The following is a 16,089-nucleotide window of genomic DNA, read 5'->3' on the forward strand; positions in this document are numbered from 1 at the left end:
GGCTATTAGAAGATCTTCCTCTAGACTTCCTGGAGGGTCTTTTCCCTCAATGGCCAAGCTTCTCTGAACGGAGAAATTCAGTCTCAATCCCAGACCTTCTAAGATAACCTTTCAACATGCAGACTTGTAGTGTGGCTACAGATTTATTTCTGCTGTACACTATCCTGCTAATTACTATTTTTATAATAACACAGTTCCCAGAGAGCCTAGTCTTTGGGTTACAATCAAGGTGGTTGGTGGACAGCTCCCTACCTAAAACTGCCCATCAGCTATAGTGATATCTACAGTCTCAGAAACCAACATATACCTGATCATGAGAAACTAAGTTTGCTTCCCTACCTTTAACATTCTTTTAACTGTGTCCTTTTGGAGGTATGCCAGGAACCACCCTGGGGAGGGAGACAGGCTGAGTGGGATTCTAAATACCCACACTCCCTCCTACACTTGCCAGAGCAGCTCTGCTTGCAATTACCTTGGAGAAGTCTCCTATAAGGTCCCTTGGGTCATTGTCCAAAATGTTCTCAATGGTTCCTTTGGGGGAAGATGCCAGGGATAAAGACTGATGAAGAGTCTGTAACAAATCAAAGGTAGAGAATGAGACAAGGGTTCTGAATGGAACTTCCGAAAACATTCACTTGGAGCATGTCTCGAGGAGACTAAAATGTTAATGCCTACATTTAGTAAGAAGTTTTTATTTTATTTTATTGAATCTGGAGTGAACAAAAACAGATGTGGGTTATTGACTAGGTCTCCTATTATTCCAGTGTCTAACCGAATTGCTCTGAAACTAAGTTTTCCTTCCTTCCTTAAAAAAAAAAAAAAAAAAAGGGGGTGCAGGTGGTTTGGCTCATGCCTGTAATCCCAGCACTTTGGGAGGCCAAGGTGGGTTACTCACTTGAGCCCAGGAGTTCCAGACCAGCCTGGGCAAGGCAGGTGAATCGCTTGAGCCCAGGAGTTCCAGACCAGATCAAAGAGCAAGACCCTGTCCACACACACACACACACACACACACACACACACACACACACACACACAAGCTGGGCATGGTGGTGTGTGCCTGTAGTCCCAGCTACTTGGGAGGCTGAAGTGGGAGGATCACCTGAGCCTGGGGAGGTCGAGGCTACAGCAAGTGGTGATGGTGCCACTGCACTCCAGCCTGGGTGACAGACTGAAACTATCTCCAGAAAAAGAGAAAGAAACAAGGGGGGTTAAAACTAGGATTAAGTTTAGAAAAAGTATGTCTTAACTTTTTTTTTTTTTTTTTTTTAAAAAGACAGAGTCTCGCTCTGTCGCTCAGGCTGGAGTGCAGTGGAGTACAGGAGTGGAGTGCAGGCTGGAGTACAGTGATCTTGGCTCACTGTAACCTCTGCCTCCCAGGTTCAAGCGATTCTGCCGCAGCCTCCAGAGCAGCTGAGACTATAGGTGTGCGCCACCACGCCCAGCTAATTTTTGTATTTTTAGTAGAGACGGGGTTTCACCATGTTGGCCAGATGGTCTTGAACTCCTGGCCTCAGGTGATCTGCCTGCCTTGGCCTCCCAAAGTGCTGGGATTACAGGTGTGAGCCACCGCGCCCGGCCTACGTCTTAGCTTTATTCAATGAGAAGAGGAAGCCAGCTGTTAAAAAGGGGATAATTTGAGTAAAAGGATAATACTTGTAATACACAGAAACACATTAAATGTTTTAACCCATGAATTCCTGATTATTATTGAAAAACAACTATAAGTCTTGCTTTCAACTTTGGAAGATGCTTGGTAGGGCATTATTTGGAAACTGGCAAATAAAGAGATCCAATATTCATCCTGCCTTTCCCAAGGGTAACCACAGTGTTTGATGAGTGTAAGTTTCTCTTTATAGATATATTCTAGCTAATTAATGAGGAAAGAATGTAAAAACTGCAGTATCATCTTTCTGAAACCCTGGTGAAATGAAGTAAAAAATCTGGGCAGCAATCACCAATGGCTGCCTGGCACATTATACTTCCTGATCAAAGTAGACAAAATCACCTATGTGATATTCTTGCCAAACAAATAGAACTGGAATTCAATCCATCCTTTCCAGAGTTAGGTTAAGGCAATATAGGGGATAGAAGACAATGTCTGAAGACCCCACAGGACTGTGGGAACCTTTGCAGGACAAATGACTTGAGCTCTTCAACAAATAAAAATATGCAAGAGGGAAACAGATGGAGCACTGAAATCTGAAGAGTAAGAGACCTATTGACCAACTACAGTGTATAGACTTTATTTGGATCCAGATTTTAACAAATAAACTGTAAAAGTACTTAGGAGACAACTGGGGAAAACTGAACCCAGACTGGATATTTGACATTTGATAGTAAGAAATTTAGCTCTGCCGGGCGTGGTGGCTCATGCCTGTAATCCCAGCACTTTGGGAGGCCGAGGTGAGTGGATCACTTGATGTCAGGGGTTCGAGACCAGCCTTGCCAACATGGTGAAACCCCGTCTCTACTAAAAATATAAAAAATTAGCCAGGCGTGGTGGTGGGCGCCTGTAGTCCCAGCTACTTGGGAGGCTGAGGCGGGAGAATTGCTGGAACCTGAGAGGCGGAGGTTGCAGTGAGCAGAGATCGACCCATGGCACTCCAGTCTGGGCGACAGAGCGAGACTTGGTCTCAAAAAAAAAAACAAACAAAAAAACACCCAGAAATTTAGCCCTGTATGATATGTTTGTGTGAGGAAAACACCCCACAAACTCAAAGTGATTTTTCTTATTCCCTCACTCAACAGCAACAGAAGACAGAAGTGCTGTTACCCCCAGATATGAGGGGATTTCTCCCTACCAGCAAGCAAGCAAGCAAGCAAGCAGTTCTGCAGTGGAAAATAGCTGGGTGCCGTCCAATTCAATTCTGACACTATCTACCTGCAGAGCGTCAGATCAGGAAGTTGAGGGCCCAGTCCTCAAAACCACACCACCCTTCAGACACCAGTTGGGCCTCTGGATCTTCTGATCTACGACCACCAGCTTTAAGTAGGGGTTCCCATGACCCCTTCTTTGGGTTTAATTTGCTAGAAGTGGCTCACAGAACTCAAGAAAACACATTTACCAGTTTATTATGAAGGATATTCAAAGGATATAGAAGAAGACATGCATAGGGTGAGGTATGGGAGAAGGGACATGGAGCTGCCATGCTCTCCTTGGGTGCCCCAACCTCCAGGAACCTCCATGTGTTCAGCTATCCAGAAGCTCTCTGAACCCTGTCCTTTCAAGGTTTTAGGGAGGCTTCATTACATAGAAATGATTGATTAAACCATTGGCCATGAGTGATCAACTTGACCTTTAGCCCCTCTCCTTTCCGTAGATATTGGAGGGTGGGGCTGAAAGTTCCAACCTCTAATCATGTCTCTGTCTTTCCAGTGACCAGTCCCACCCTGAAGCTATCAATCATTAGTATACAAAAAGATATGACCTTGGATATTCCAAAGATTTTAGGAGTTATATGACAGAAGGGGAAGAAGACTAAATATATATTTCACAATATCACAGGTATGATAACTGTACTCTAGCAATGCTTGACATTTTCTCCACAATGGAATTTAAAATACTAAAAATTAAAATATATGAAAATAAACCAAAACATGAGGGCCAATATATATACAAAATAATTATTAACAGTATTATTTTATCCAAAAAAAGTTTTACAAATATGGAAATAAAAAGGTCAATCTCTATTACGGTAAAAGAAAATGAATATTCTGGCCGGGCACAGTGGCTCACACCTGTAACCCCAGCACTTTGGGAGGCCAAGGCGGATATATCACCTGAGGTCAGGAGTTCAAGACCAGCCTGGCCAACTTGGTGAAACTCCGCCTCTACTAAAAATACAAAAAAAATTAGCCAGGCGTGGCAGTGGGCACCTGTAATCCCAGCTACTCAGGAGGCTGAGGCAGAGACTTGCTTGAACTGGGGAGGCGGAGGTTGCCGTGAGCCAAGATCCTGCCACTGCACTCCAGCGTGTCTCAAAAAGAAAGAAAAAGAAAATGAATATTCTTTTTTTTTTTTTTTTGAGATGAAATCTCACTCTATCACCCAGGCTGGAGTGCAGTGGCGTGATCTCTGCTCACTGCAACCTCCATTTCCCGGGTTCAAGCGATTCTCCTGCCTCAGCCTCCTGAGCAGCTGGGATTACAGGCTCATACCACCACACCCAGCTATTTTTTGTATTTTCAGTAGAGACAGGGTTTCACCATATTGGCCAGGCTGGTATGGAACTCCTGACCTCGTGATCCACCCGCCTTGTCCTCCCAAAGTGCTGGGATTACAGGAGTGAACCACAGCACTCAGCCAGAATATTATTAAATATTGATAGATATTTTCTGACATGTATACAATGTAAAGTTTCACAAATGTTCTTGCCCTTATAACCCAGAATTTCATTTTTAATTAGAAATAAAAGGAAAATCAGGGGAAGGGAAATTCTAAATGTCCAGAAGGTGATTTATTCAATTATTTCTAGTATACTTGTAAGTCAAAACACTATCGGCCAGGTGCACTGGCCTGTGCCTGTAGTCCCAGATACTTTGGAGGCTGAGGTGGGAGGACTGCTTGAGCCCAGGAATTCAAGGCCAGCCTGGGCAACACAGTAAGACCTCTTTTCTACAAAAAATAAAAAAAAATTTTTTTTAAATTAACTGGGCATGGTGGTGCATGCCTGTAGTCCCAGCTGCTAGGGGGGCTGAGGCGGGAGGAGTGCTTGAGCCCATGGAGGCTGTACTGAGCTGTGATCGTGCTAGTGCACTCCAGCCTGAGTGACAGCGCTAGACCCTGTGCCCCCCACAAACAAAAAGAACAAAAACCAAAACCAAACAACTCTCCCAAAACAAAAATACTATGCAATTATTAAAATATTCTTTTAGAACAATACTTTAAAAACATTCATAAAGCATTAAAAACAAAAGCAGATACGATAAGGCAGTAGGCCTAAATGCTAAATGTTTTCCTAGCTGTCATCTCTCTAACCTTTTAAGACTGTGATGAGATTTACTTAAACCTTTTCATGCCACAGAAAACACAGGTAGTTCACCATTTTATAATGCTTAATACCAAACCTCAATATAAGGACAGTATAATGAAGGAAAAACATACAAATAAACCAGTGTTTTGTGTGTCTAGCCACAGAATAAATAGAAAAAATAACACAAAGGACCATAGGACTTAGGCCCAGACAACCATGACACTAGCTCACCCATGCCAGGTGCTGTGTCTAACACCTATGATCCTGGCACTTTGGGAGGCCAAGGCGGGAGGATTGCCCTGAGCCCAGGAGTTTGAGACCAGCCTGCGCAACATGGCGAAAGCCTGTCTCTACAAAAAATACAAAAATTAGCTGGGTTTGGTGGCACACACCTATAGTCCCAGCTGCTTGAGAGCCTGAGGTGGGAGGACTGCTTGAGCCTGGGAGGTGGAGAGTGCAGTGAGCGGAGATCATGCCACTGCACTCCAGCCTGGGTGACAGAGAGACCCTGTCTCAGAAACAGGAAACAACAAAACAGCCTATACAACTATGAGCAATGCAATGAATTAACTTGAAGAATTAGACAGACAGGGCTGGGCGCAGTGGCTCACGCCTGTAATTCCAGCACTTTAGGAGGCTGAGGCGGGCGGATCACAAGGTCAGGAGATGGAGACCATCCTAGCTAACACTGTGAAACCCCGTCTCTACTAAAAATACAAAAAATTAGCCAGGCGTGGTGGCGGGGTCCTGTAGTCCCAGCTACTGGGAGGCTGAAGCAGGAGAATGGCATGAACCCGGGAGGCAGAGCTTGCAGTGAGCTGAGATCGCGCCACTGCACTCCAGCCTGGGCGACAGAGCGTCTCAAAAAAAAAAAAAAAAAAGACAGACCTTTATAAAAATCAAGTATTTAATAGGCCATGATAGGTCTGGATTAAAAGGAAATAAAATATCTACAACAAATGATAATAAAAACATTTCAGGTCAAAAGTTATGAGACAAATCTAAAGCAGTGGGAAATTCATAGATTCAAATAGATTTATCCAGAAATAAGAAAATTAAAAACGAATGAGTTAACCATTCAACTCATGAAGCTGGAGACAGCAACACAACAAGCCCCAAGAAAAGCCTGCTCTCCCTAGGCAAAGGATGGCCTATTGAGGCAGAAGACTTTTAGACAATAATCATTCTACTAGTCAACACAGAAACAATTATGGCCAACAGCAAGCGGGGGCCTCCACCTTTGCCCAGCTGTCATACAGTGCCCCAGTCACCACCCCACGGGGATGGAATGAACTTCCACTCCCTCCCAGCAATAATGAGACAAGTCCCCACCCAAGGTGTCAATGGAGTTTGTGCTGGGGAACCCGGACTTCCACCCATGCCTTTCTTGCAGTATCAGAGGAAGCCTGCTAAAACGTAAAATTTACATAGACCGGAGACTCACAAATATACAGGAGACAATGGAAGAATCACCGGTCATACCAAGAACCAGAAAAATCCCAACTTGAACAGGAAAAGACAATCAACAGATGCCAACAACACTATGGATGGATGTTGGATTTGTCTTACAAAGATTTTAAAGCAGCCATCTTAAAAATGCTTCAACAGGCAATTATGAACATACTCAAAGCAAATGAAAAACCAACATGAAAACAGCCAAGTATCAGCCAGGTGTGGTGGCTCACACTTGTAATCCCAGTGCTTTGGGAGGCCAAGGCAGGAGGATCACTTGAGGCTAGGAGTTCAGGACCAGCGTGGGCAACATCGCTAGATCCCATCTCTATTAAAAGAAACACACACACACCCACACACACACACAACCCCACAAAACCCCAGCAAATCTTAGCAAAGAAAATAAATGAACCACTAAGTAGAAATTTTTAGAACTGAAAAATACAGTATCTGTGCTAGAGCAAAAAGGAACCTAGGAAACTAACCTCATGGGCCTTCTCTGGATTAGTTGACTCTTTGGGGCTGGCCCCAGACATGCTCTTCCTCCTCTTTGTACTTCCAGGTGGAGACTCCTCTTGAGATCGTTCTGGTCTCTTCAACACTGACCGAGTGCTGGAGCTACACAGGGAAGGGGAGTCAAACAGCTTGCATCGGTTGTCCTTACAGGAAAAAAAACAGACAGACCCATCTTTCATTAAAACCTGTTCACTTGAATGGTAAGACAAATAAACCGAAGGTTTCCTGGGATGATCTAAGATCAATTCTAAATTAGCCAACAGACACTGCCGATTCATCTAGTCCTAGCAACTCTCACAGGGCCTGGCACATAGTAGGCACTGAGCACTTAGTGCTCAATGAATATATACTCAGCTGACATTATATAGAGATGAGCAAAACGTCCTTTGCCCTCACAAAAACTGTCTACATAATCCTGCGTCAAGAGAAGTGTGACCTTCCAGTCAGGAACACATTTTTGGCTTGCCTATCTTCCCCTCCATTTTATTACTTGCACCTTGCTTAATTAAGCAGGTCAACGGGTTTAAATACCCCACTTAAATCCAGAAAAGATGCACAGTAGCCAGGTTATAATAAAAATGGGGGCATCTTTGGTTAAGGTATAGTTAAGATGGTAAATTTGGAGGGAGTGGGGATGGGCAGAGTAGCAAATGCCTTTCAAAATTGTGTTCAAAGTCTTTTTTTCTACTTGGTCTTTTAAAGACTAATTTCCCAGGCTGGGCGCGGTGGCTCACGCCTGTAATCCCAACACTGTGGGATCACTTGAGGTCACAAGTTCAATAACAGCCTGGCCAACATGAAGAAACCCCATCTCTATTAAAAATACAAAAAAATTAGCCAGGTGTGGTGGTGCGTGCCTTTAATCCCAGCTACCCAGGAGGCTGAGGCACGAGAATCACTTGAAACCAGGAGGTGGTGGTTGCAGTGAGCTAAGATTTGCACCACTGCACTCCAGCCTGGGTGACAGAGCAAGACTCTGTCTCAATAAATAAATAAATAAATAAAGACAAATTTTCCAGAGCCCAAGGGAAGCCAATCTGACCAGTGGTAGCAAGAGTCAGCTCTCTAAACGCATCTCAGCCTATTCTCGACTCCATGTGTCTTGGCCTGGCTTTTCCTTCTGCACAGAATGTCCTTTCACATCTCAGTAAACCATTCATTTTCAAGTTGATGCTAACATTTCAATGTCACTTCTTTGAAATCTTCCTGATAGTCCCCAGTAGAATGGATCACTCCCACATCTGCTCCCATAGAGACCGGGGATTTTCTTCCTCTTTTGTGTGAAGTTTATTTTCCATTACAGCTCCCAGCAATGGTTAGTTTGTAATAACCATTTGTGGAAGACATTTCCCCACTATTAAGAGCTTACAAGCCCATGCTTATGACTCTAAAATCAAATCTATAAAACTAACAGCCACTTCCAAAGTGTTCTCACATTTTATGTAATTTTATGCCTATCAAAATGACCTGGTAAATTTACTCATAACATTTGTACTGCGTTAACATATTTTCTCAAAAGCTATGCACATGAATGTACTATAATCCATAAGTGATCTCAAAACTGTAGCTTGGCTGGGCACGGTGGCTCATGCCTGTAATCCCAGCACTTTGGGAGGCAGGTGGATGGATCACCTGAGGTCAAGAGTTCGAGACCAGCCTGGCCAACATAGTGAAACCTCGTCTCTACTAAAAATACCAAAAAAATTAGCCGGGAGTGGTGGCGTAAGCCTGTAGTCCCAGCTACTCAGAAGGCTGAGCCAGAAGAAGCACTTGAACCCAGGAGGCAGAGGTTGCAGCAAGTCAAGACTACACCACTGCACTGCACCCCAGCCTGGGCAACAGAGGGAGACTCTGTCTCAAAAACAAAACAAAACAAACAAACAAAAAAACTGTAGCTCATTTGTTCTGTAATTATAGTTCAGGTTATTGAGAATTAAAAAATATGAACTTATCAATTTAGATGTGTACCTAAGGGTGTATATCTCTGAACATACAGGTGTATATATCTGTATAGGCACATTCTTGCTTCTAACTTTGAAAGTATCCCTATGATGAAAACACGAATCTATAGCATGTGTATGTGTGTGTATATATATGTGATTTTGAATATATATACACACATACACTATAGATTCTGTATCTACATATACTATGCTTTCTGTTTGAAAGTATCCCTGATGGAAACACAAATCTATACTGTGTATGTGTGTGTGTGAGTATATATATATATATATATATATATATAAAATATATATTATATATAATTTTTAAAATCGAAAATATCTACCTGAAAATACCCAGCCTCAGGTAGGTATTTTCAATGAAAAACAAAACAAAACAAAACAAACAAACAAAACAGCAACAAAAAACATCCAGCCAGGCACAGTGGCTCATGCCTGTAATCCCAGCACTTTGGGAGGTCGAGGTGGGCAGATCACCTGAGGTCAGGAGATCGAGACTAGCCTGGCCAACATAATGTAACCCCGTCTCTACTGAAAATACAAAGATTAGCTGGGTGTGGTGGCAGGCACCTGTAATCCCAGCTACTCGGGAGGCTGAGGCAGGAGAATCACTTGAACCTGGGAGGCAGAGGTTGCAGTGAGCCAAGATTGTGCCACTGCACTCTAGAATGGGCAACAAGAGCGAGACTCCGTCTCAAAAAAAAAAACAAAAAACACAGAAACAAAAAAAATCCTGTGAGTTACTGTTGCTTGTCTAATTTTATGCTAGGTTCTGTGGAATATAAATGAGAATAACCTAAAAAAAGTAAAGTATTCAGGCTAAAGGCTTCAGATAGGCTTTTTTCAAACTGACTAGATGGTAAAAGCTAGGAATGACCATGGTCCCTCCTAACCCACACTCCTTATACATCAGGAGACATGCAGAGAGATATCATGACTAAAGGTCATAATTTGTAGGTAGCCAAAGTGAGGCCTAAAACCCAGATCCCCAAATCCTATCATGCATTTCAATCTTTGGCTATACTCAACTAAGGACTACTCTGTCCAGTGCCCCAATCACGCAGGGCTTCCTCCAGACACACTAGAACAACTCACAAGGTTTGTAGTTCTCATGACGAGAGGAGCTGTCCAGAGGCTTGCCATGCACGAGGGGGTCTCCTCCTCATTCTAAAGAAACAGAAAAACTGATTTTAAAAAGAGCCTGTAGAGACTAACATTTGTTTAAGTGCTTTAGGTGTGTTTCTCCCTGAACAATACCAGATAGGCCTGGATAGGAAGTATCCTTAATGTACCATCCTATACCGTTCTGATTTCATGTTTCTTGCATATAGATTGTTAGTTAGCTCCTTCAGGGTAAGAAGGATCATGTGTCTTCTTTTGATGCCCCCATCCCCCAATCCAAAGGATTTAATAAGGCTGGTAGCCCTATTATTAAATGAATTATCACCAAATGAACAAAAATATCAGCTAAGCAAGCCCCGGGGAACTGCTGTTGCTGTTCTTTTTCACATCACATGCCTTCTCCAGAGGTAATTAATTAGTAGAACAAATAGGAACACACACACACACACACGGTACCTTCAGATTCTCTCCATCGAGAAGGTCCACGAAGCCATCATCCTCATCAGACAAAGTGGCTGTCACAGGTGACTGGGGTGTAAAAAGAGGAATGAAATTCCCTGGTTCACTGCTATCTCTTTCATTTGAGGAAAGCTGTAAGACAAAATTCATGGATTAATAATGAGAGCTCTGATCCACTTTCATTTCCTTGAATGGGTCACTAGTTTTTATGATGAAAACATACTATGTTATACTTGTTATACAAAGCAAAATTTTAGCCATTACTGATTATATGAAAATGTATCCCAAGATTATAAATGATTTGATGACCACACACAGCCCTGAGTAGTCAGTAGCCTTTACAGAGAACTCTTGCCAGAAGCAATTCACCTTATAATGGGTACTAGAGATAGCCTCTTGTGAAGAACAAGGTTTCTTTTATTAGAAGGTTGCATCAGTGAACACCGATCAGCATTGAGGACTGTGACAGTATGAGAATCTGCTGAAATGAGTTAGGGCAAGCAGATGCAAATCTCTATAAAGACCATAAAATGGCCTAGAGAATGCACTTATATATAACTCCAGTTCTGACAGGGGGGAATAAAGGGTAACTTCCTTCTATAAAATCTATCCTCGTTCTTTAGACTTGGGATTTAAATGCTCAGTTTTTAAACGAGGAATTACTGTGTGCCAGATACTACGATATAATCTTTATACATATAATCCAATAGAAGCCTCACAATACACTAAAGGTAGCTAATCCTTTCCTTTTTCTTTAGCAAATCAGGAAACTGGTGCTTAAGAGGTTACCAAGATTATACACCTCATCTGTTTGACTCCAAAATCCAAACTCTTCTCACCACACTATCTCCCTAGGAGAAAACCATTCCTGGAATTAAAATGGCGGTACCTCATTAGCCAACCTATAGTCATACTTTTTTTGGGAAACCTCTAAACATGGAATATAGAAAATTTAGAAAAACTGCTCATAAATCCACACCTGAAGATAAATCCTACCAATACAAACACTGCTAATACTGAATTATTTATTTTCTAGGCACTTTCAAATCCAGAAAAAAAAGTTTAGAGTTATTTTTTTCACAGTAGCAGGGTAGTCCCAATGTTATGACCTACAAGTAATCCTTAAAATCCAAATCTCTTTGGGGTATGAATCTGTTGTTAGTTAAGTGGCCCTCTGATTTTCTGAGTGGATCATGCACCAAGGAATCCTCTCTGCAGCTGGCCTATTCTGGTTCTGGCATTAGCTTTGCTTCACAATATAAAACAAGTTCTGAGCAGTCTCTAGTCCTCCCCAAGTGCACACTCTGGGAAATGGCAAATTTTTTTAGCCTAGGGGTAGATAACTTTATTATGGGGCAGTACCTTTATCACGAAAGCTCACACTATATCACACCAACATTTGTGAGGTATGTTCTGGGATTCCTAGGTGCAGATGTGATACAGGCTCTAGTCGCTAAGCACACACCAAATATATTGTTTCTGATACCCAACTCTTAAAGCATTACTGTGTACTTGGGAATTTAGAGATTGTTTATTGAGACAGGGATTCATTGTCCAGGCTGGAGTACAGTGGTCTGATCATAGCTCACTGCAGCCTCGAATTCTTGGGCTCAAGCAATCCTCCCACTTCAGCCTCCCGACTAATTGGGACTATAGGAACAAGCCACCACACTCAGCTTATTTTTTAACTTTGTACAGATAGGGTCTCACTATGTTACCCAGGCTGTCTTGAACTCCTGACCTCATGTGATCCTCCCACCTCGGCCTCCCAAAGTGCTGGGATTACAGCCATGAGCCACCACACCCAGCCAGAGATCATTAAATCCTGGTTTCCTACTTATGTATATCCTTTGGTAAATCATCCAAACCTCTCTAGTGGTACTTTCCTAATCTGTTCAAGTGGATTAACTCCACTTCACAAGACAAGAACATATAAAAGTGCTTTGTGCAAATGATAGACAGAGTAACAATACTGGCTGAACCTCAGAACACAAAGCAGATTGGAAAGGTATATTTTCAGATTTAAGATCCTAGGTAAACCTGGAAGCCAAATGTGGTCATCTTGCTCAAGTTGGGCCTCTCCAATCTATAGATGCTATCAGTTAATCCAATTCAGACCAACAGCAGGAAACTTTGGAAGTAATGACAGTCCCTGTCTGGCAAATACATAGCCCTGAAACGAGTGACCCCAAAACTGCCCAGCAGCCTGAGCATTCACTGTAATCCATAATAGTTCTTTAAAAAAATTAAAAATAAAAAAAATAGAGATGTGGTCTCACTATGCTGCCCAGGACTCAAGCGATCCTCCTGTCTCAGTTTTCCAAAGTGCTGAGATTATAGGCATGAGCCATGGCACCTGGCCCATAACTGTTCTTAACAAACCACCTTTGGAAGAAGTCAAGTGCTCTCTCTCCAGTTCCTTGAGAAGCACTTAGAATGCATAGTAAAGACCAAGTTTTAAGTAAGAGATCTAGTGTTACGGCTCTTTTAAAATTTGTCTCGCAGGCTTTCCGGTTTTTGCCAGAAAGCCCTTAAAAAAAAAAAAAGAAAAAAAGAAAAAAATAGGAAGAGATATAATCCCACCATACATACATTTAGGATGACCCAGGATTTCCCAGATTAACAAGGTCGATTATTCCTTGCACAACTCCAATATTTCAAACACCATCTCCCACTCTTACTACCGCCTGTCTGTTCTCCAGACACAGCAAAACCACCAAGAATGCTTGACAGTCTAATTTCAAAAGACAAAGTCAAGGTAAAAACAGCTAGTGCTACTGTAGTGCCTTCAATTCTGGATGAAAGAAGGTGTTTTAATCCTTTCTTCCTGTCAGGAATTCCCCTATGAAAGCCAGAGCACATACCATCCGAGCTGGGGCAGAGTTCTGCCTCTGTGTGAAGAGATCTTTACCCTCCTGGAGTCCATGAGAGTGCAGGCAGCCACGAGATACAGGTCTTACTGGCTTCTTAAACTCAAAGGCTTCCTGCAAGACATAGTTGAGACATCTACTGTCCATGAAAACCAACTCAGGCCTCAGCTTGGGTGAAAGAGGCAAGAAAGTGGGCACTGATCACCTTTCTGCCTCCAAATTAAAGTTTCACCTAATTCCAACAATAGATCTGCGTAACTAAGAATTTCCAAGGCTCTGTCAACAGCTAACTTCTAAAGTAACATCTTTTTCTTGTCATACTGTATTTCCTAACACAAGTATCTGCCAAATATACAAAACACGATGAATAAGCTAAATCACAAACTTTCTGAAATCTAAAGCAAAAATAAATAAAATCTAATATAATTGCCTGTGAATAGTTGTCAAAATTTTCCATCTAGGTCCATCTGTTTCAGGGCTTCATATTTTCCACCTCTTCCTACCAACTGGAGATAATTTTTTCTACTTATAATTATTCTATTCTATACTAAAAGCAATGAAAAAAAAAAAAGCCCTACTGGTTTACTCAACGTGGACGATTCTTACAAGCATAATGTTTTTTAAAGCCAGATATGATAGAATACATATCGTATGATTCCACTTTATGGAATGAAAACACTCACAGGTCCCTTGCCCTAAAATATTCACTTAAGAACTCATAATTAAGTATTAAAAGCAGTAATGGCTAGCACTGGCGTGGGTGGCTGAGTTCCCCGTTGCCCTTGGTCTCGGGGTCGCGGTCGGCACTGAGGCTGCAGCTATCATGGTGAACTTACTTCAGATTGTGCGGGACCACTGGGTTCATGTTCTTGTCCCTATGGGATTTGTCACTGGATGTTATTTAGACAGAAAGAGTGATGAACGGCTAACTACCTTCCGGAACAAGAGCATGTTATTTAAAAGGGTATTGCGACCCAATAAAGAAGTTACCTGGAAGTAAAGACTGGCTGAATTATAGAATGTTCACATTTTAAAGTTCTGAGAGAAATAAAACCATGAAGAATCAAAAAAAAAAAAAAAGCAGTAATGGCTAATATTACAGTGATTTCTATGCCAACACAGTACTAAGTACTTTCTGTGCATTAACTTTTTAACCATCAAATACAACCTGATTGTCCCGATTTTACAGGTGAGAAAACTAGACCTTGCAGGTTAAGGAATGTGCCCAAAATATTGAAGTAAAACAGGACAACTCCAGAGTGAGAGCTCTTTAACCACCATCTATGCTGTTTTCCCTTTAAAACAAAGCTCCAGGCAAGCAACCCTGAGAAGCTATTTCGGGGGAAAACCAGGCATCAGTACAGCTTTGCCCTGGTAAAAAGCACTAGAGGCTGATACACTGTTCCAAGCACTCAAGGCTGGAACTCATTTCCATATTCTTTCTCATGACACTTCCCAGGTTGATAAAGAAATCATCAGGAGAGTTCATGGAGGCAGTGGGTTTCACACTAAACCTGAAGATTGTAAGGACAAGGATTATGAACTGTGGCATTTCAGCAGGAATGGAAAAGGGGAGAAAGTAAATATATAGAAATACAGTAGAGAGAAGGCTGAAAAAATTACAACTGTTTTGGATGCCTACTCTGTGCAATGTCTAAAAGAACAAAAAAGCCAGGCTCATTCAGGGTAGATAACCAGAAATTCACCTTCCAAGCCACCATTTCAGTTACTCTGAGATTCCCTAGAACTTGTTGACCCCGTTCTTACAAATACTGCCAAAGAGCCTTTTCCTAAGCTTACAATTCATTTCAGGGTCAGAGCAAAGAGGCAAGGACAGCCTGGGCAGAGCCTTCCAGACAAACACTATTTGTACATGTAATTACTCCTGTGAGCTACAATCTGAGCAACTCCCGCCTGTCAGGCACCATTTTCAATACTTCATACATAATCTTACTTATTGCCACAACATCCCTAAAAGGTATTACTACTCCTATTTTACAAAAGAGCAAAGATTAAAAAGAGAAGAATTTGCCAACATCACACAGCTAGTAAGCAGGATCCAAACCCAGAATTCTCTGACTCCAAAGACCGCACATAATGGCCAAGTTTAGTCTCCCAGAAAGCAGCCCAGCCACTTCTAAGCCACTGACAGCCTGTGGGTTTCACCTCTGCCTCAGGTTAGTACATTGAAGTCACACTCACATTTTCCTTGTTCTCATCTGGGTCGATGAGCTGAAAGATGTCATGGTCAAGAGAATCAGAATGGCTCCTCTTCAGAGCTGGACTACATCCCAACAGCTTCTGCTATCAAAGTAAAAAAGGAAAATAATTAAGGCACACAAATAAAATTTCAGTGGAAAATTCAGTTCTCAAAAGAAAAAAAAGGGGGGTTGAATAGGGGGTAGACTAGCTCCTCACACACTGCAGTAGGTAACCAGTAAATGTGGCCAGGAATCCACCTTGCCAGGACACAGCCAGGACACAGCATAGAAGTTTCCATTCCATGGGTTTACAGCTAACCTCACAAGGTCTACAGTGCCCCCCTCAACAGGGATTACAGTGCCAAATCAATCCCCAAATAACATTTGCATCAAAAGAACCCTTCCTGGTTTAATAAAGCTCTGTTAGAGATGGAGGACAAATTCCTCCAGACCGAACATCTTGAGTACTTATGAGACTAAGGAAAGGCTGGGAATAGTGGCTCTTGCCTATAATCCTAGCACTTTGGGAGGCCGA

The 16,089-nt window shown here is 42.2% G+C and overlaps 1 protein-coding gene and 2 pseudogenes across 7 annotated transcripts in view; 2 read left to right on the forward strand and 1 right to left on the reverse strand.

The window, feature by feature from the left end:
- The window catches only part of CDC25A (cell division cycle 25A), a 31,272-nt gene that overhangs the window by 10,228 nt on the left and 4,955 nt on the right, over positions 1-16,089 (reverse strand). For 2 of the 7 annotated variants that reach the window (XM_047449363.1, NM_001789.3), the window contains 6 exons: positions 15,556-15,657; positions 13,348-13,467; positions 10,481-10,615; positions 9,998-10,069; positions 6,911-7,084; positions 473-571 (listed from right to left, as the gene is read on the reverse strand). In XM_047449363.1, the coding sequence (XP_047305319.1) occupies positions 473-571; positions 6,911-7,084; positions 9,998-10,069; positions 10,481-10,615; positions 13,348-13,467; positions 15,556-15,657 (702 nt within the window). Of the gene's footprint in view, positions 1-472; positions 572-6,910; positions 7,085-9,997; positions 10,070-10,480; positions 10,616-13,347; positions 13,468-15,555; positions 15,658-16,089 lie in introns of those variants that run through there. The other 5 variants (XM_047449365.1, NM_201567.2, XM_047449364.1 and 2 more) reach the window with 4 other exon arrangements.
- RNU7-128P (RNA, U7 small nuclear 128 pseudogene) lies at positions 12,955-13,016 on the forward strand (annotated as a pseudogene).
- On the forward strand, positions 14,104-14,423 carry NDUFB1P1 (NADH:ubiquinone oxidoreductase subunit B1 pseudogene 1; annotated as a pseudogene).

Source organism: Homo sapiens, chromosome 3 (genome assembly GCF_000001405.40).
Source record: "Homo sapiens chromosome 3, GRCh38.p14 Primary Assembly".
Lineage (NCBI taxonomy): Eukaryota > Metazoa > Chordata > Mammalia > Primates > Hominidae > Homo > Homo sapiens.